The 19715-nt window shown below is 46.5% G+C and overlaps 1 protein-coding gene across 4 annotated transcripts in view, besides 7 other annotated features; it reads left to right on the forward strand.

Annotated features, from left to right (window-relative positions):
- Positions 2857 to 3151: an enhancer, noted in NCBI's record as "tiled region #7028; HepG2 Activating DNase unmatched - State 5:Enh, and K562 Activating DNase unmatched - State 5:Enh". NCBI's record gives its function as "activates a minimal TATA promoter and a strong SV40 promoter by Sharpr-MPRA in HepG2 and K562 cells {active_cell/tissue: HepG2 | K562}" and the evidence as "EXISTENCE:reporter gene assay evidence [ECO:0000049][PMID:27701403]".
- Positions 3163 to 19715, forward strand: part of TBL1X (transducin beta like 1 X-linked) — a 256446-nt gene continuing 239893 nt past the window's right edge. For 3 of the 4 annotated variants that reach the window (NM_001139468.1, NM_001139466.1, NM_001139467.1), the window contains exon 1: positions 3163 to 3330. The gene's annotated coding sequence lies outside the window, so the exon portion shown is untranslated. Of the gene's footprint in view, positions 3331 to 4925; positions 5316 to 19715 lie in introns of those variants that run through there. The other variant, NM_005647.4, reaches the window with a different exon arrangement.
- Positions 3526 to 4354: an enhancer, noted in NCBI's record as "H3K27ac-H3K4me1 hESC enhancer chrX:9431698-9432526 (GRCh37/hg19 assembly coordinates)". NCBI's record gives its function as "activates a minimal SCP1, AML or CMV promoter by ChIP-STARR-seq in primed H9 embryonic stem cells {active_cell/tissue: H9 hESC(primed)}" and the evidence as "EXISTENCE:reporter gene assay evidence [ECO:0000049][PMID:30033119]".
- Positions 3526 to 4381: a biological region, named in NCBI's record as "H3K27ac-H3K4me1 hESC enhancer GRCh37_chrX:9431698-9432526".
- Positions 4182 to 4381: an enhancer, noted in NCBI's record as "active region_29401". NCBI's record gives its function as "activates an Ori minimal core promoter by ATAC-STARR-seq in GM12878 lymphoblastoid cells {active_cell/tissue: GM12878}" and the evidence as "EXISTENCE:reporter gene assay evidence [ECO:0000049][PMID:35858748]".
- Positions 4612 to 5191: a silencer, noted in NCBI's record as "silent region_20650". NCBI's record gives its function as "represses an Ori minimal core promoter by ATAC-STARR-seq in GM12878 lymphoblastoid cells {active_cell/tissue: GM12878}" and the evidence as "EXISTENCE:reporter gene assay evidence [ECO:0000049][PMID:35858748]".
- Positions 5312 to 5451: a silencer, noted in NCBI's record as "silent region_20651". NCBI's record gives its function as "represses an Ori minimal core promoter by ATAC-STARR-seq in GM12878 lymphoblastoid cells {active_cell/tissue: GM12878}" and the evidence as "EXISTENCE:reporter gene assay evidence [ECO:0000049][PMID:35858748]".
- Positions 5752 to 5901: a silencer, noted in NCBI's record as "silent region_20652". NCBI's record gives its function as "represses an Ori minimal core promoter by ATAC-STARR-seq in GM12878 lymphoblastoid cells {active_cell/tissue: GM12878}" and the evidence as "EXISTENCE:reporter gene assay evidence [ECO:0000049][PMID:35858748]".

A 19715-nucleotide genomic window follows, 5' to 3' on the forward strand; every position in this document is an offset into this window, starting at 1 on the left:
TATTGGCCCATGTGTCAAGAGTCTTTGAAAATTAGATGGGCCTGGGGAAAATTAGACACTAAAGTCAGTGAAAACCAGGCAGTAAGTCATGAGAAGTTCAATATCTCTTCCTCCTGTCTTTTTTCTTTTTCTTTTGTTTTCTTTCTTTCTTTCTTTCTTTCTTTTTTAAGAGACAGAGTCTTGCTCTGTCACCTAGGCTGGAGTGCAGTGGCACGGTTATAGCTCACTGCAGCCTTGAACTCCTAGGCTCAACTGTTCCTCCTGCCTCAGCCTCCCAAGTAAGTAGCTGGGACTACAAGCTCAGATCACCATACCCAGCTAATTTTTTTATTTTTGTTTTTTGTAGAGATGGGATCTCACTGTGTTGTCCAAGCCGGTCTTGAACTCCTGGGCTCAAGTGATTCTCCTGCCTCAGCCTTCCAAAATGCTAGGATTACAGGTGTGAGCCACAGCATTTGGCACAGTGTTTCTTTTTTAAAAAAAAATAAATAATAGGCTTTTTTTTAAGAAGAGCTTTAGATTTGCAGAACAACTGAGCCGATAGTGCAGAGTTACATGTTTCTCTCCCCAGCTTCCAGTGTTATTAACATCTTAAGTTAGTGTGGTACATTTGTAACAACTAAGGAGCCAGTATTCATATATTATTATTAATTAAAGTCCATAGTTACATGAGGGTTTCCTCTTTGTGTTGTACATTTTGTGAATTTTGACAAATATATATACACACACACACTTATATGTATAATAACGTGTATCCACCATCATAGTATTACACAGAATAGTTTCACCACTGTAAAAACCCACTGTGTTCCACCCATTCATCCCTTCTTCCTCCTTGAACCCCTGGCAACCACTGATCTTATTGTTGTCTTATCTGTTTCCCCTTTTCCAGAATGTCATATGGTTGGAATCATACAGTATATGGCCTTTTCAGACTGGCTTCTTTCACTTAGCAATAGGCATTTAAGGTTCCTTTGTGTGTTTTGGGGGCTTGATAACCCATTTCTTTGTAGTGCTGAGTAATATTCCATTATGCGGGTGAGCCACAGTTTGTTTATCCATTCGCCCAGTGAAGGATACTTTGGTTGCTTCCAGTGTTTGGTGATTACGAGTAAAGGTGCCATAAACCTCTGTGTGCAGGTTTTTGGAGCACGTAAGTTTTCAGCTTAGTTAGGTAAATACCTAGGGGCACAACGGCTGACTGTATGGTAAGACTCTGTTTGGCTTTGTAGGAAATTGCCGAACTGTCTTCTGAAGTAGCTGTACAATTGTGCATTCCCATTAGCAACAAATGAGAGTTGCTGTTGTTCTGCATCCTGTCAGCATCTGGGATTGTCAGTTTTCTGGATTTTAGCCATTCTAATGTATGTAGTAGTATCTCATTGTTACTTTAACTTGCAATTCCCTAATGATATATGATGTTCAGCATCTTTTCATATGCTTACTTGCCATCTGTATATCTCTTTGATGAGTTTTTTTCTGATCGTTTGCTCTTTGATTCAGTTGTTTATTTTCTCATCGTGGAGTTTTAAGAAATATGTATATATATATACACATACATATACACATATGTACATATATCTGTACACGCACACACACACACACACACACACACACACACACACTCTAAAAAAAAATTAGAGACAAGGTCTTCTCTGTCGCCCAGGCTGGAGTGCAGTGGTGAGATCACAGCTCACAGCAGCCTCAACAGGTGTGAGCCACTATGCTGGCCTGCATATTTCAAATACAATCCTTAATCAGATATGGAATTTGCAAATATTTCCTCCCATTCTGTGACTTGTCTTCTCATTCTCTTAACAGTGTCTTTTGTAGACTTTTCAAATTTTAGTGATGCCCAACTTACCAATTTTTTTTTCTTTTACGCATCATGCTTTTGGTGTTCTAGCTACACAGTCATTACCAAACCCAAGGTCATCTAGATTTTCTATGTTATCTTCTAAGAGTTTTTATAGTTTTGCCTTTTACATTTGGGGGTATGTTCTATTTTAAGTTAATTTTTGTGAAAGATAAAAAGCCTAGTTTTTTTTTTTTTTTTGGCATATGGGTGTCCAGTTGTTCCAGCACCACTTGTTAAAAAGGATGAATTGCCTTTGCTCCTTTGTGAAAGATTAGTTAAGTATATTTGTGTGAATTCCTACTGCCTTTTAATTAAAATTTTGGGTACTGTTTATGGGGAATGCTGGTAGTATTTGTTGCAAGCAGATTCTTGTTTTCCCCTCCCTCCAGTCAATAACTGAAAATAAGTGTTTGCAACACACACACGCGCACACACGCACATGGCTAGTGCAGTGGGTTTCTGTGTAAATCACTGTGGACCCCTCGCCCTGTTATCCTTTAGCTTTCTCAGAATACACTACCTCCTTGCCGCTCTACTTTATTTCCTTGTTTTCTCCCACCTTATAGGACTGCACATTTGAAAAATCGTTGAAACAGATTAAATAACACAGTCTAATTATCACCCACCTACAGTCCATCTAGTATTTCAAAAAGAGGAATTTTGGTGATTTCACGATAAATGTAGGCGGTCTCTCTTCCTGTCTTAGGTCTTACAGTGTCCTTTGGGGTCCTGTGAGTCTATGATAAAAGATATTGACTCTTTACGGGTAATAAGGGTGGTGGGATTATGGGGATATTGTCAAACAGTCAAGATGAATTCTCAGCTCTTTTGCATTGTCAATTACAGGAGCTCAGCTGTAAATCCTGGCCACACTGGGCTCCAGTTTGAAAGTGAGGATTTCCACCACTTTCCCATACTTTAAAAGACTGGCATCTGCCAAGTAATCAAAACACACAAAGAGGCCTTTTAACCAAGTTTAGCTTGGAATTTCCAACTGCTAACCACAAGCAGGTCTGGCAAGCTAGGAGGCTGGTTGGCTGCGCAGCTACTCCAGAGTGTGCGGTAGCCGAGGGCTGCGTCCGCGTAAAGCCCAGAGCTGTAATGATGTCAACTTGTTATTTACTTTCCAAATCTGAATGACTGAGCAAGGCGAAAGGAGAATCAATCAACCACAATGTGACCCTACAGGCGGAAAAAACGCAGCACTCCCACCAGCAGGCGGTGGGGGAAGGGAAGCACGTGTAGCCAGGGCAGGGTTGCATCATGAGCTCGTTCGGGTTTTCTATTGCACCCTTCGTTTTTCTATTGCATGTAATACCTCAGCATCAGTCTGCACAAGCCCAGGGAGCCCAGGAGCAACGAAGGGCAGGCTCAAGGGAAGGCCCCACCATGTCCTTCTGGGGGGCCTTGAATGGCAACTGATACATAATAAGACACAATCTATTCTGCTGATTCACAATTATGGAGACTGTGTAAGTGTGTATTTTTTTATTGATGTCCTCTAATGATGGTGTAGCAACAGTCGTTTTGCATCATTGACGTTTTACAGCAATATTTTGCAGGGTAATTTTGAGGTCCGCCGTTTTGGTGGAGGACCGGCCTCTTAAAAACTCACCTCCGGCCGGGCACGGTGGCTCACGCCTGTAATCCCAGCACTTTGGGAGGCCGAGGCCGGCGGATTGCCTGAGGTCAGGAGTTCAGACCAGTCTGGCCAATATGGTGAAACCCCGTCTCTACTAAAAATACAAAAAAAATTAGCTGGGCGTGGTGGCATGCGCCTGTAATCCCAGCTACTCGGGAGGCTGAGGCAGGGGAATTGCTTGAACCAGGGTGGTGGAGGTTGCAATGAGCCGACAGCGCGCCACTGCACTCCAGCTTGGGCGACAGAGCGAGACTCCTCAGAAAAACAAAAACAAAAACAAAAAAACAAAAACCTCACCTTAGGTCCCCCTCCCCCTACAACCAGAACAACAAATGGTCTAGAGTTCGAGGAAGAGCAAGTGAGGTTATAGTTTAGATTGCTGAGTGTACCGGGCTCTTAGCACGAAGCTCATTATATAGTAAAGGAAGGGGCAAGAATATTTGAAAAATATTCAACGAGGCTGACCCCAGAGGTGCTGGGGAGGGGGAGTGGAGATCTGTTTAACTGAATTAAGGCTGCGAGTGGTTGGGAGTAGCCTACGTGGAGGGGAGGAAGGAGCGCTGGGGACTTAGGTACACCGGGGCCAGGCCGTGTAAGCCATTGCAACATAAAGCACTTTGCAAGGGCCAGAGGGCTGATGCCTGGGGGGTTGGGGTGGGAGTGATGAGGCCCGAGTGCCCAGGTCCCCCCAACCTCCTCAGCCCCCACACCCGAGTTCCTGGCGCCTATGCCTGTGTGTCTGAGTTTGTCCCTAAGCATTTCTGGCTCTTCTTGGGAGGTGTTTTGCAAAGGTCGAGGCTCCGCCGGAACCCCCACTTTTTGAGCTGGGGTAAAGACTACTGGGGTGTCTTCTAAGACGCCGATTTTGAGGGAGATTCACCATCGGGCAGGTGGCAGGGGGTTCTGTTGGGGCAGCCGGGTGGCTTCCTTTTTGGGGTGGGGGAGGGTAACACTTTAGCAGTGATCGAGGTTCCCCTGCCCCCTAGAAACTGAGGGGGTGGCCGAGGTTCCCGTCCCCTCGAGGCAGTCGTGGAAAGGCTGGGTTTGGGATGTGATGGGGGTAGCCCTGGGGTCCTCTCAGTCCCACGGAGGCCACGGGGAAGGGACCGGGACCAGAGCAACTAGGGAGAGGCCCGGGTTCCCCTCACCCACCCTAGGCGTGGGGGAGCGGGGCGGGCTTGGTAGGGACGCTGGTCCCCCGACCGTGGGACAGGGGCTGGGTTGGGACGCGGGTCCCCACTAGGAGCCGCGGGGGAGGGGCAGGGCCGGAGTCCCTACCCTCGTAGGGGAGGGGCTGGTTCGGGACGCGGCTCCCCCGGGGCGCAGGGGCGGGGCCGGGTGGTACGCCGGGTCCCCTCCCACGGCCGTGAGGGAGGGGCCGGCGGCGGGGGCGGACCCCTGGCGGTCCTCCTGGCTGGGGTCCGCGCGCTCGCGGCAGCTCCCCGTGGAGGTCACTGTCCGTGCCAGTCCCTCCCGCTGTCCCGCCCTCTCCCGCTGCCGCCGCCGCCGCCGCCGCGCCCGCCTCAGCGCCCCCACTCCGCGCTTGGGAGCGAGGAGCCGCCAGCGCCCCCGCCCCGCCGCCGCCGCAGCGCCCTCAGGCCGCCATTCGCCACCGAAACTTTCCAGCGCCCGCGCTCTCTCCGGGACTCGGCGGCGGCGGGGCGGGGGCGGCCCGGGGGCGGCGCGCGGCTGCTCCGGGGCGCCGGGCCCTCTTCGGCCGCCGCACGGCCGGGACTCGGAGGCTGCCGGCTGGAGGGAGGTTCGGAGCGCGGCCGGGCGCGCGGCGCCGCCACAAGTTGCGCTGCTCGCGACGAGGTGAGTGCGCAGGGCTCGGCGGGCCGGGCGCGGGGTCCGCAAACTTCTGCGGGGAGGCGGGTCCCGCGCTGACCCTCCAGGGTCCGGCCGGCGGCTCGGGGCGCCCGAACGCTCCACCCGCCCCTGGAACTCCTGTAGGTGCAGGTCGCCAACTGTCCCCGCGGCGCTCGGACTGGGGTGCGGCGCGCTCCCAGGAGCCTGAACAATACCCCGAGGTGGCCGCTCCCCGAAGTGCCGGCGCGCCTTGCGGGGAGAGACGGAGGTCGGCGGGGGGCTCCTTTGTTTTGGGGAGGGGGAAGTGGCCGGTAAGTTTAGGGAAGCGCTCGGCTTTTCCTCCGGTGCCCCTTTGTCTGCCGATTCAGGGGCTTGCTGGGCAAACCTGCGCCACCGCGGGCTCCGGGGACCGGGGTGGAGGGCGGTGGCGGGATTTCCCCGCTGTTGGGGAGAAGAGCCCCATTCATACCCGGGACGCGGGCCGGCCCTCCCGGACCCGGGTGGAAGCGCAGCCTCGCGGAGTGGGGCAAGCGGCGGGCGAGGTGGCGCGGGCCCCGTGTCTGCTCAGTTTCTGACGCGCAGAAACTGTCAAGGAAGTCGGGAGCCCCAGTCCTCCGCCCATCTCCCCGGCCTGAGCGCACGGCTGGGCTGGGGGCACCCTTGGCCCGTCGAGGGTCTGCAGAGCGCCGCCCGGGGAGAGCGCAGACCTGTTGCTGCTCCTGGGCTCTGACGGGGCGGGTGGGGTGGGTCTCGCAGATCCTGGGCCCCGGCCTTGCTATCCAGGGGGACCTTCCCTAACGATGGGACCGGTGCTCGGAGTGGAGTATGGGGAGTGCGCCTTCGGGAGTCGGCGCTGGCCGGATATGTGACAACTGTGGGTCGCTGGAGGCCCGCCTGCGCTGGGATAGGGCCTGGACTTCACGTGCGTCGCCTGTGTTCCGTCAGACCGGGGCCGGGGCTCGCTCCCTGCAAGGCCTCGTGTTCCCCCAGCCAGCTGCGTTGGACGTTCCACAAAGGTAGGGACTGACGTTTATTCTCGAGTCAGTGATGTTCTGGAGCAAAACCTAAAAAGAAACAAAAACCTACCCTCTATTGTATTTGCAACTGTTTCTGCTTTGCATTGTCATGTGTGGTTTGACCTGCCTTTTGGATGTTTTCCTCTCCTGAAACATCGCCCAGTCCCTGGTTTAACCTGGAAGGCGAGGGGGAAGGAAGGCAACCTCCCTGCTAAGGTTCCAGGCAGTGGCTTTGGTGTTGGAAGTGGCACTTGACGATTTTATGAAAAGTTTACAAGTCCTTCCTAGAAAAGATGTAATTAGGAAAAATAAAATACAGAAGAACGTTGAGTATGACGCGTTTATTTTAAAGGGTAGTCCTGTCTCAAATGTGCTGCACATTTTTGTGGAAAGCCACCAAGCTGGGTAACTAATGCAAACAACAAAAGTTGTTCATCACTGGATCACCGGCCCTTAAGGCGATTCCAGCCCTTAGTAGAACACACACCTGTAGGGCAAATATGGAGATTTGTGGTGTAGTGCTGCCACCCTCGCTCCCCAACTCTCAGGCATTTTGCCCCTTTACCTCAGAGAACTTCTCTCTGTCAGTGGTTTTAAAGAGGAAACAGTTTGCAAAAATAACTTTATTGTAGACATACTTAGAAGTGAATGTTTCAATTTCTGGAGTTTTCCCATCAATTATATCAGTACCACTGGTTCTGTACAACATCATCTTAGTTAGAAGATTTTTTTTCACCTTTTAAGGTGACGAACAGAGGCGGGAAAATGGTCCCTGCAGAGGGAGGCCATCTCCAGCAGGTCCCGAGGGTCAGGAATTCAGATTATCCGATCTACTCCTGCTGGATAGGAGCACACCTCCGCTAGAACCTGGGTCCGGCCCCCTCCCAGTTTTCTGCAGGGCGTCCAGATTCCGGTGCTCTGCCCCGCAGCAGTGCCCTGTGGGCCTCCTGGCTTAGCTGATCAGCACAGCTTCTCTGCCCAGCGAGGCAGGACCATCCTCCCACTGCTTTCCTGATGCCTTGGATTTGCTTTTTTTCCTCCCTTAGGAAAAGCAAAAAAACCTAATATGCTACATCCGAGAAGTTGTTAATCTTTCACTACCACATGCATTGAAAAATCAGTTCCACCCAGGAAGCAACACTAAAGGCATATTGTAAACACTTTTTTTTTTTTAGTTGGAAAGATAAACTTTTTTCCCCCATAACTATTTTTAGTTAGCCGGAGACTGGACTCGAGTTTTTACCTCCGGTCTTGCCCCCTCCACTCCCGCCCTCACTTTCTGTGGGGCTCGACCACATGGACCATGCTGGCCAGACTGGCAAACATGAAACCCACCAGAACCAAAAGAAAAGCTGGATATGGGAAGGGGCCGAAGAAGTCCACATGTTTCTAAAGGGCAAAGAGCCTAGGCTGAGGAGAGACGTTTCAGATCTCCAGGGGAGAAAGACAGCCGTTAAGGAGTCCGCCGGGCTGCTGCCTGCCTGGCCAGCGGGAGCCTGACTTCAGATGCCTGCGCCTCCCAAGCTGGCCCCCTCCCACACAGCCATCGCCATCCAGTATTTAGGGAGAATCCACCGCATGCCTGAAGGTTGCAGAAGTGAATTGGAAACCGTTACAAATGGAATTGGAACAAATTTAAAGTTAAGATGGAAGAGAGAATATGTTGAGTTTTCAGAGGAAGTCGGGTACTGCTTCCTTTTCTTGTCTAGGTTTGTTCTTGTCCGATGGGATCAGAGAGATTTGAGATGGGGCATGATAGGCGGCGGGTTCAGGAGAAAGGGAAGCTTTAGAAATGAAGGTAGAAAAGATGCTTGCTTATTGGAACAGTATTTTCAACGTTGAGCTCTGGAATGTTGCAGCCAACTAATGGTTCTCATTTGGGACAGTTTTGTCCCCCACTTTTGAAGGGAGCATTTGCCAATGTCTGGAGACATTTCCCTTCCTGCAACTGTTAAATTAGCAAACAGGTTGAGCCAGCTGGGTGTGGACCTGCATTTTCCTCGTGGAGGCCCTCTTCCAAGTGTCAGTAGGAAAAGGGCTCCCAGAGTGTGGTCCTGCTGCGGGACCTTGGCCCCCACGTCCAAGTGAGCCCCAGAGGTGCCCCAAGCCCTGCCTGGTCATGGGGAATCTGGGCTCCCGCTGAACTTGGGCGCTGGGGACAGCTATGAGGGAAACCTGGTTTGCAGCTAGCTTGCCGTGCACTGACTGGAGCTTTGGGCAAATCAGTGAACTTCTCTAACATTAATTTTCTCATTGAGAGAGGAGGTGGGTAGGAGTATATATATATATATGTAATTATATATATAGGGGTCGGGTAGAGGGAGAGAGAGATTTCCCAGGCTCCTTGTATTAAAGGAGATAGAGTTATTATATTTCTCATTTAGTTTTTATTTATTTGTTTATTTTGAGACAGTGCAATTATTATAGCTAGCTGCAGCCTCAACCTTCTGGGCTTAAGCAATTCTCCTGCCTCAGCCTCCTAAGTAGCTGGGAGTACCAAATGCGCACTACCATACCTGGCAATTTTTTTATTTTTATTTTTAGTAGACACAGGCTCTCACTGTGTTGCCCAGGCTGCTCTCAAACTCCTGGGCTCCAGTGATCCTTCCTCCTTGACCTCCCCAAGTGTTGAGATTACAGGTGTGAGCCACTTTACTCAGTCGACCGACATAGAATTATTATAATGCTTGGAGCCTAACATGCCTTTTTTGTTTGTTTGTTTGTTTTTTCTGAGACGAAGTCTCTCTCACAGCCCAGGCTGGAGTGCAGTGGTGCGATCTCGGCTCACTCTGCCTCCCGGGTTCAAGCGATTCTCCTGCCTCGGCCTCCTGAGTAGCTGGGATTACAGGCATGCTCCACCACACCCGGCTGATTTTTGTATTTTTAGTAGAGGTGGGGTTTCACCATGTTGGCCAGGCTGGGCTCGAACTTCTGACCTCAGGCGACCCTCCCGCCTCGGCCTCCCAAAGTGCTGGGCTTATGGGCATGAGCCATCGCGCCCGGCTAGCCTAACATGCTTATAGTTTCCTGTTTTCTGAAGTTGGGAATTGGGTCTGGAAAGGTATCACCATCAGTCACGATGGTGTCTAGTAGTTTGCTTTGTTTTTTTCCTTATCTTTTCCCTCTTACATTTTAGGGCTGTATCTATATAATTTTATTATTTAAATTACCATATGGTAAGTTTGTCTCTTTGGGTGCATTATGAGTCTTGACACATGCATAGATTGGTGTGACCACCATCATCATCAGGAGAGAGAACAATCTCCTCAGCCCAGAGATGTTCATGGCTCTGTCTCCCACAGTTCCTCCACAGTCACCCCCCCCAGCCCCGAATCTGGGGCACCCAGCCATCTGCTCTGCTCTGGAAGTCTTGGGGATCCCATCTGAATGTAACACATGGTGGAATGCCTTAGGTGAATCCATCCGCTCTTCCAGTACCACCTTTGCCTCCTCTCTCTGATGACACATGAACTTCATGCCTTTGTGTGCTTTGGCCAACCGCTTTTCTTAGAACAGCACATTTTGCACTGTAGATGTTATCACAAGCAAGGAAAAAACAGCTTTGCTCCTTAATGTAAGAAACCACAGTGGAAAAACATCAGGTGTGTTGTTGAGGCTGCTAAAGCTTTGCTCCTTTTTAAAATTTTTTAAAAATTTTTCTGGATACGTAGGTGTATATATTTATGGGGTGCATTAGATATTTTGATATAGTCGTGCAGTGTATAATCACATCATGGAGAATGGGGGTATCCATTCCCTCAAGCACTTATTCTTTGTGTTACAAACAATCCAATTATACTCTTTTAGTTATTTGCTCTTTTTTCTTTTATTTTGAGACGGAGTCTCACTATGTCGCCCAGGGTAGAGTGCGGTGGCGCGATCTCCGCCCGCAAGTTCAAGCGATTCTCCTCCTCAGCCTCCGGAGAAGCTGGGACTAGAGGCATGTGCCACCACACCTGGCTAATTTTTTTGTATTTTTAGTAGAGATGGGTTTCACCATGTTGGTCAAGCTGGTCTCAAACTCCTGACCTCAGGTGATCCACCTGCTTAGCCTCCCAAAGTGCTGGGATTACAGGCGTAAGCCAGCACGCTCGGCCTATTTATTTCCTCTTTGTTCTATGCCAGTTAGTTCTTGATGCCTCATTGTTTCAGATGGGACATTTTCTAATGTCGTGTTTTTGTTTTTGTTTTTTTGAGACAGAATTTCATTGGTGTTTCCCAGGTTGGAGTGCAGTGGCATGATCTCTCCTCACTGCAACCTCCGCTTCCCGGGATCAAGCAATTCTCCTGCCTCAGCCTCCCGAGTAGCTGGGATTACAGGCATGCACCACCATGCCCGGCTAATTTTGTATTTTTAGTAGAGATGGCATTTCACCATGTTGGTCAGGCTGGTCTCGAACTCCTGACTTCAGATGATCCACTCGCCTCGGCCTCCCAAACTACTGGAATTACAGGTGTGAGCAACCATGCCCGACCTCTGATGTCCTTTTAGAGGATGTTACCCTCACCTTTATTGCACAGTCCTACCAAAAGGTACTTCATATGTGAAATGTATCAGAAGGTTATAGTCATGGCTTTAGTTTAAAAACAGGATACATGTTCATTAAGGACCTTTGCCGTTTTCCCAATGGGTTAATCACGTAAATATAAAATAGGCTAAAAATATCAAGTTGTTTTTGCCTTTGTTGTAGAAATAAAAAAATGAATTCCTACATCTGTGTTTCTATGGAGCTGCTAACCTGTGTTTTACTCTGGGCCATATGTCGCTTTCTGTGATCTCATGACGTGGCATGTTTTCTAATATAATCCTTGTCCTGGCATTTTGGTGACTTTTGTCCTGCCTGAGGTGGTCTACCTGGTTGTGTGAAGTCACAGAACCTGTGCATGTCCTACCGTGTAGAGTTAAAGGGCTGGATGAGTGGCCTCAAGCCTTTTCCTCCCTCCCAGGTGTGAAGATTTGGTTTGGAAGATGGACCCTGCTTCAAGGTCTGGGAGGCCATGTTTTTTTCAGACTGGTTAAGGATGACGGTTTTATGTTAACTAAACATTGGGATCAAGTGACAGTTGTTTATGTCCGGTGCCTAGAGTATCAGTTTTCCCATGATTAAAATAAGCGATATTTTGGTAAACATTGATAAGTTAGTTGCGCATTTTAGTTCAGAAACCCACAGCGAGTCAGAAGGCGCTTTGTGCTGCTGGGCGCCTCTGAGTGATTCCGGGGAGTGCGGCAGTTCTCCAGCCCCAGGAGACCCTGTGAAAGAAGCACAAACAATGCTCACGGCAAAACTCACAGTGTTTATTCTTGACCTGGGTGTCTGCCTTGAATTCTTGTCATTTTTCCTATCGTGGTGGATGTAGCCGGAATGCTTTAAAGAAAACATGAGAGTTTTTTCTGCCTGTTTCCCTTGAGCCTGGAACCGATTATGACCCCAGATAGCCTGCACAGGGCTCTTTCCTTTCTGGAACACCTGCCCAGGCTAGAATATGGGAGTAGGGAGGAGGTGAGGCTCTCTCCTGCCCGGTAACCTTCCCGGCCAGCTCTCCAAGACGCTGAAACCTTCCTTCGGGTCTGTTGAAACTGCATCCCCAGCACCATCATGTCGGAGCAAGAAGAGAAGGGCATGTGTCCCCTTTAGGCTTGACTCTTTCCAATTAGGGACCTGCCTGTTGTTAGGATTTAGAGTCCATGTGAATGTGCAGTATTGTTCAGTGCTGCGAGCATTTTTGCTTGTCTGAATTTCCTGATAGAAGGGAATTTGGACAAAAAGAAGCTTATTGTACATGGTGCCATTTTATTCCTTAAATCAATAATAACAAATACTTTATTTATGTATTTTTAGAGATGGGGTCTTGCTCTGTTGCCCTGATCATAGCTCACTGCAGCCTTGGCTTTCTGGGCTCAAGTGATCCTTCTGCCTCAGCCTCCCAAGTAGCTGGGCCGACAGGCACAAGTCAGCATGTCCAGCTTTTTTTTTTTCTTTCTTTTTTTTTTTTTTTTTAATTTTCAATTTTTTTCTAGAGATTGGGTCTTGCTGTGTTGCCTAGGCTGGTCTTGAGCACCTGGACTCAAGCAATCTTCCTGCATCGGCCTCCCAAAGTGCTGCGATTACAGTTGTGAGCTACTGTTCCTGGCCAACATATACTTTAATATGGCAAGACCATATAAAATAATTTTAAGAGGCCAGGTGTGGTGGCTCATGCCCCCCAGCACTTTGGGAGGCTGAGGGGGGCAGATCACGAGGTCAGGAGATCGAGACCATTCTAGCTAACACGGTGAAACCCCGTCTCTACTAAAAATACAAAAAATTAGCCAGGCATGGTGGTGGGCGCCTATAGTCCCAGCTCCTTGGGAGGCTGAGACAGGAGAATGGCGTGAACCATGGAGGTGGAGCTTGCAGTGAGCCAAGATTGCGCCACTGCACTCCAGCCTGGGTGACAGAGCAAGACTCCGTCTCAAAAAAAAAAACAATAATTTTAAGAACTGGAGGAAAATTCAGCAGGACTGAGTCGTGATTTCAGTTTCTGGTGCACTGTGGGTAATTGGGTAATTGTCAGCCTGGATGCTTGTGCTCCTTTAGTTGTCACTGTTACCTTGTCATCTATGTGAAGATGAGAAATGAAGTTGAGTGGAGAACTGTCGCCAAAGTCTGCCATGTAAAAATCGGTAGTGCCAATGTGCAAAGGTAATTCCCAGGTGCTATAAAAGTCCAGGTGGCTTCACAGTTTCAGATTGTATTTCCCGAAAGCGTAGAGAATTGATATCCCTGAATAGGAAATTGACGTCCCTGCCATTTGGTTCATTTGGGGAACAGAATAAACTTGTGTCCTTGCCTTCAGTTCTTTTTTCAACAGAATCTTATCAAGCATTTGAATCGTACACAACTGTAATGCCAGCTCCATGTTGATAAAAACTCAAGAATTCAAAATTATAAACTTGAAAACAGCAATTGCCAACTTCTGACAGTAGCAGGAGAGTCTGGAGGACCTGTTCAGAGGAAGTCGGGTACTGTTTCCTTTTCTTGTCTAGGTTTGTTCTTGTCCGATGGGATCAGAGAGATTGAGATGGGGCATGATAGGCGGTGGGTTCAGGAGAAAGGGAAGCTTTAGAAATGAAGGTAGAAAAGATGCTTTCTTATTGGAACAGTGTTTTCAACGTTGAGCTCTGGAATGTTGCAGCCAACTAATGGTTCTCATTTGGGACAGTTCTGTCCCCCACCTTTGAAGGGGGTTTGGTTTAATTCCCAATTTGATTATGAAGAAAATACCAGATTCAGCTTGCATTTTCAAGACACAGTGGTTCTATGTCAACTTCAGCCATTTCCAGGGATCTGTCTTAGGATACTTCAAAAAGCCTAACCTTTGAGATGCACTCAGCTCATAAGTTCGTGAAAATAAGAATGAATAATCTTCCCTGTCCAGTACATGACAGAAATTATTGTAGACCAGATGAGAGCAAGGAGAGATACTTGTTGATATTACATGTCACGGGATGCTCTGTTAAATTTTATGGGACTCTGAGTGTAATTCCTTTAAGCCAGTAGTCTCTAAATTTGGGGGAAGGACAGGGGACAGAAATGACTTGTTTCAGATTTTAATTCCCAAAAGGGTCTTAGTGAGTTTCATGCCCTCTGGCAGGTGCACAGCAAGATTTATTGGGATGCAGGAAGAAATTATGAAAATGTCCATTAAGAAAATCTCTAATACTTGTAAAAAATATATTTCTTGTCCATGAAATGCATGTTACTTGAGTATTTTATATATTTAATAAATTACATGAGTTAGGAGCACCTTCTGAAAACTTTTTTGCTGAAAAGGATATATGATGAAAGAAACATTTATGATGTAGGTCCCCAAAGGCTGGAAGAGGGGGTGATACCAACGTCCCTGCCTGCAGGTAGGACACAGTTGTACTCCCCTTTCCTCTGACTTCAGCTACTAAGGTATGTGTGCGTTTGCACGCACATGTATGTGCGTTAAGTAACTTTGAGATCCACCAGCTTAAGGACTGGACATCGTTCCAGAGGTACAGGTATTAGTGATTTGACTTAGGGAAGAAAGAATATGCAATAACAGGGAACCATGCACATACTGGATCTATTGTATTTTGCGTGTTGTTTTTAAAGCTGAAAAAATGCGCTTGTTTCGGAACTAGATGACAGTACCTGTTTGCAGGTCCACAAGGAAACCTTGGAACAATGCTATGCTTTTTAAGCGTTTTATGACTGCATTGTTTTCATAATCACTGAATTCTGTTTATAAATCAGCTGATTTCATTGACGGATGCCCTCAGGGCTCTGGAGAATTAGGCGTTTTGCTGCAGAAATGGTTCAGAATTTCAAAGACATCAACGTGAGATTGTACTGGAATTGAGTTGTGATAAAAGTCCTAGGGTGCTTTAAATCTTTAAATCTGGTTATTTGTTTGTTTGTTTTTTGAGGCAGAGTCTCACTCTGTCGCCTAGGCTAGAGTGTAGTGGCGTGATCTCAGCTCACTGCAACCTCCGCCTCCTGGGTTCAAGCAATTCTCCTGCCTCAGCCTCCCGAGTTGCTGGGATTACAGGCGCCTGCCACTGCACCCGGCTAATTTTTGTATTTTTAGTAGAGACGGGGTTTTGCCATGTTGGCCAGGCTGGTCTCGAACTCCTGACCTCAGGTGATCCGCCCACCTTGGTCTCCCAAAGTGGTGGGATTACCGGCGTGAGCCACTGTGACCTGCTGTTTTTGTTTTTGAGACATATTTCATCTATCATGGTTATTAAGTGTTTTGTTTTTTTGCATTTCTCATTGGTGTTTTTTGTTTGTTTGTTTGTTTTTTTGAGATGGAGTCTGGCTCTGTCGCCCAGGCTGGAGTGCTCAGCTCACTGCAACGTCTGCCTCCCAAGTTTAAGCAATTCTCCTGCCTCAGCATCCCGAGTAGCTGGGATTACAGGTGCCCACCACCACCACGCCTGGCTAATTGTTTTATTTTTAGTAGAGATGTGGTTTCACCATGTTGGCCAGGCTGGTTTCGAACTCCTGACCTCAAGTGATCTGCCTGCCTCGGCCTCCCAAAGTGCTGGAATTACAGGCGTGAACCACCACGCCTGGCCTCATTAGGTTTTTTTTTTTTTTCTGAGTTGCTGCTACACTACTGGTGTTACAGAGTGAATAAACATAAAAATTATATTCACAACTCAGACCACATTGTGGGCTGTGGAGGTGAGAAATAGGAATCATCTCTAAATTTAAGGTCTTCTGGCTGAGCTCATTTGCTTAGAATGGCTGAAGGTTTGGTTTTCATGAGATGAAATGCCAACCTCAAGTGGTTCTGGGTTTCCAGACCAGTTTTTAGTTTGTTTAACTTGAGAGAATTGATATGTCAGCTTTAGTTTTTGTGTGTAATTTTTGGTGTTTGCATCTGTTTTCTTCTTTGTGAATATTGAATTCGCAACATAACTTTGTTATATGAAATGATGCTCATACACTTGCGCAGTGCATTAGAAAGCCTGCCAGGAGCAGTACTTGTAGATTTCCGTGTACCAGCAGGATGCCTAATGCCGACCATGATTAATGCTCATCAGAATCTATGTAGACCTCCATTTGTCCTTTGATAAGCTGAAATATTTGTGTCTACTTTTTAAAAAACCTGTTGCTTCTCTTTATGGTAATACTCAGAAGGCACTCACTGTGAAGAGAGGAGAAACAGGAAGTAGAATTTTTTACTATCTAGATTGATGCACCTATCTCCCCTCTCCAGAGACCAATGCATTTAGGCCCCAGTAAGAAATTTAGTTGTAATGAACCATAAAGCAGATGCAGAGTATATTTGGGAATATACCTTATCTGACTCCACAGCCCAACCCCTTTAAGAGGAAAGAGATGGCACAATATATTTTGCTTTAAGCCTTAGACTGGTCTTGACTTCATATTGGAACCACTGAATTGCTTCAGCTGTGAACTGGAATCCTCTCCTGTCTTTGTTGTTGAGTGATGACACTCTTAATTAATCATTTGCTTATTTGCCATCCAAATCACCCTATATAATCTTTCAGAAGTGTATCTCAGAGAATGACCCTAAGTCGGCTGACCTCTGAAGCCTGTACCAGAATTGACTTTATTTCTTAAGCGCACACTTCCTGTGCTTTCAAGGGGCAGCTGTCTAGGTTTAGTTTCTGGGAGTTTGAGGCACAGAGGTATGTAGGGGAATGGGAAGGCCAAATGGTAAAAGCCCCTGGGACGTGGAATCTGTGAGTACACTAACCTTGAAAGAGATTATGAAAACAAACTTTAGAGCATTGTTGAAGCACCATCTACATAATTTATATCAATGAAGACAGTAACTTATTAGGAAGACAGGATTATTAAAATTAACCATTTTCATCTTTCTACAAAAATAAAAATCAAATCAATTTTAGTTCAGATAATTGTATGTGAAGCTTTATAAGTGAAAATTTGAAGTTAGCAAAATTATATAACCTTAGTTAATTATATTAGTGTACTCAAACTAAATATAGAATAAGATTAGCTCATGGAAACATTGCATTTTTATCTCAGTCAGTACTGCTCATATCCACCCAGTAGTTAGTTTCTAGTTACGTTTTGTAATTTTTTGAATATCCTGGACATGGTTTTAGAAAAGTTAGTTGAAACAAGATATTGTATGCTTTCATTATTTCCCAGTTCATCTTTAAGCATAATAAAAACACAGAGTAAGTTGTCCTTTTTGAATTTTCTTTCCTTTCTAATATGTGTCTGGCACAACAGAGGACCAAGCCCAGGGATCATTAATCCCATTTTTCTGCATGGCGTTTGCTGTGAGAGAAGTTTGGGCTGGATTCGTAGTTTGCTATCTAAGAGTAAATGTTCAACCTTCTCTAATTTCCTGTTTTGTTTGCTTTTCCATTCAGTGTTCTATATTTGGACAACAAATATATTTTTCTGTATGGGTTTCTGGTGGCCCAGATGTTCATTGGAGTGGAAATTCTTTCTGTCCACACCACTGAGTTGGGCAGTTACTGGTGTTTGGCTTTCTCTATCTCTTGGAGTTGACTTAGATACATTGTGTATTCAGGTTGGGCACTCATCCCCTTTGCAAGCTCTATTACTTTGTTCCATTTGGCTTTGCCATAAATGTTTGCCCTTGGCTTGCCAAGACGTCAGCTTTAAGAGATATGTCATTTAACTTAGAACTCTTGAGTCTGACTTAAAATTAAGTCAGTTTTCTTAAACATTGTTATTGAGGTATAAATGACATGCCACAAAAGTCACCTCTTTGAGGTGTACCATTCAGGGATTTTTGGTAAATTTACTGGGTTGTGTAGAGATCACCATGATGCAGTTTTAGAACATTTTCAATTCCCAATAAGATCGCTCCTACTCGGTTCTCACCCATTTCTGCTCCCACCTCCAGCCACGGGCCACCATGAATATCCTTCGTGTCTCTATAGATTCCCCTTTTGTGGATATTTTAGAGTTGTGCTTCCAAGAATGAGTATCTCTGTGCTTGGTCGAACTTCCCGGATGGTGAGACCTGATTTAGTGACTTTGCCTTCCGCCCCTTCATCCCCAGGAGAGGAAGGTGGGGAAAGGGGAAAGACGGCAAGTATAGTAGTATAACAGGCATCGTGCCTCAGTTTCCTCATCTGTAAAATCAGGATAACCATGGACTAGTTTCAGGCTCTAAATGTGAAACTCTGTAGGAAGTAATTAGCTGGGAATCTGGCATAGAGGAGGAGCTCATTGTTTGCGTGTTAACAGTGGGAAATAGTTAAGGAGGTGGGAAAAGAGCTACCTGTAGAAAGGTGGCCTAAGTCCCTGGAGAGCTGAGCACAGGACCCCAGGGCACACACCCCCTTATGCTTCCCCTGTCTTTCATCTTGAAAGCACCTGCCTGTGAACCTCAGGCTTGGAGGGAATCTGGATGTTTTCCCAGGATCTACCTCTGCTCTATGGTCCTCAATCCAAGGTAGTTTTGAAACCGCCTTTGCAAAAATTATATCAATGAGAAAATTATAACAGTATGTTAAGCTAACCCATCCCCCATCTTGCCTTTCCCTTAATATTCTTGGGCTATTGGGCCAGGTGAACTTTGGAGGACTTTTAGGCTACGGTTTAAATGATAATAGGCCTTGTCCCAAACTCAAAACTTGCCCCAAACTGTAACACTAATGGGAGGCCATCAGGATGGGGGAGGAGAGGAGCCTGATTGCTGCTAAGGCAAAGACATGAACCATTGCCAGATTGTCAAATACGCAGATTCCCAGTTACTCCCGCAGATAACATCACTGTTGTAGAACCTAAGATTGGCCTTTTGAGATATCTTTTCAGGTTTTTAAAATTTTCTTTTCTCTGAACTACCTTTGGGGAGATTCTAGATCTTTTAAAAATTCCTTACCAACTCTTTGGAGATACCTCCTGCGTTCATGGTTAATCCATCCCCTTAGTTAAGGCTTATTGATTGCACATAGGAAGTTCCCTTTAGTAAAAGGTTCAAAAGCTAGAAATGTCCTGGCTGAAATCCGGTAAAAAGAGATTTTAAAATGATTTTTCTTTTGAGAGCTCTGTAGTTAGAAATCGACTTAATTAAAGCTGATATGTGTACAGATACTGTTTTAAAGCCCCTGTTCTCCCTCTGAAAGCTTCTGTCAATGGACTTCTGTCTTGATTCTTCATTCCTGTCTTTCTGTGTATTCTTCTCTGTTATGTAGTGTTTATATAAAACAGCTCTAAATAATTGGCGTAGGCCAGGCGCAGTGGCTCATGCCTATAATCCTAGCACTTTGGGAGGCCAGGGCGAGGTCAGGAGTTCGAGACCAGCCTGACCAACATGGTGAAACCCCATCTCTACTAAAAATACAAAAATTAGCCGGGTGTGGTAGCACACGCCTGTAATCCCAGCTACTCAGGAGGCTGAGGCAAGAGAATCGCTTGAACCTGGGAGGCGGAGGTTGCAGTGAGCTGAGATCACGCCACTGCACTCCAGTCTGGGCAACTGAGTGAGACTCTGTCTCAAAAATAAAATAAAATAAAATTGGCTTAAAGAAAAATAAGCACTTAAACATTGTCAGAAAAATGGAAACTTTAATGGCTTTTACATCACATGACTCTGATCTTTCAAAAATAAGGACAGTTTAAAGATTATTTGTAAAGTAAAATAAAAATGTCTTCAAAGTTAACACACTTTGTCTAAATTAGGCAGGTCAGATACTCTTTGCTGGATGTTTTAAGGTCATAAACTGCTTCTGTGACTTTTAATAATTGTTTGACTTGTCTGTCTTACAGCCATTAGATTCTAGGTAAGGTCTGGGGACACATGGAGTTAGCCGGCTCCCCTGGCTAGGCTGGGAAGAATCATGGGTTCTGTAGTTTTATACATGGTTAAAATTGCTTATTTACCAGGTTTTTCACCAAAA

Source organism: Homo sapiens, chromosome X, assembly GCF_000001405.40.
Source record: "Homo sapiens chromosome X, GRCh38.p14 Primary Assembly".
Classification (NCBI taxonomy): Eukaryota; Metazoa; Chordata; class Mammalia; order Primates; family Hominidae; genus Homo; species Homo sapiens.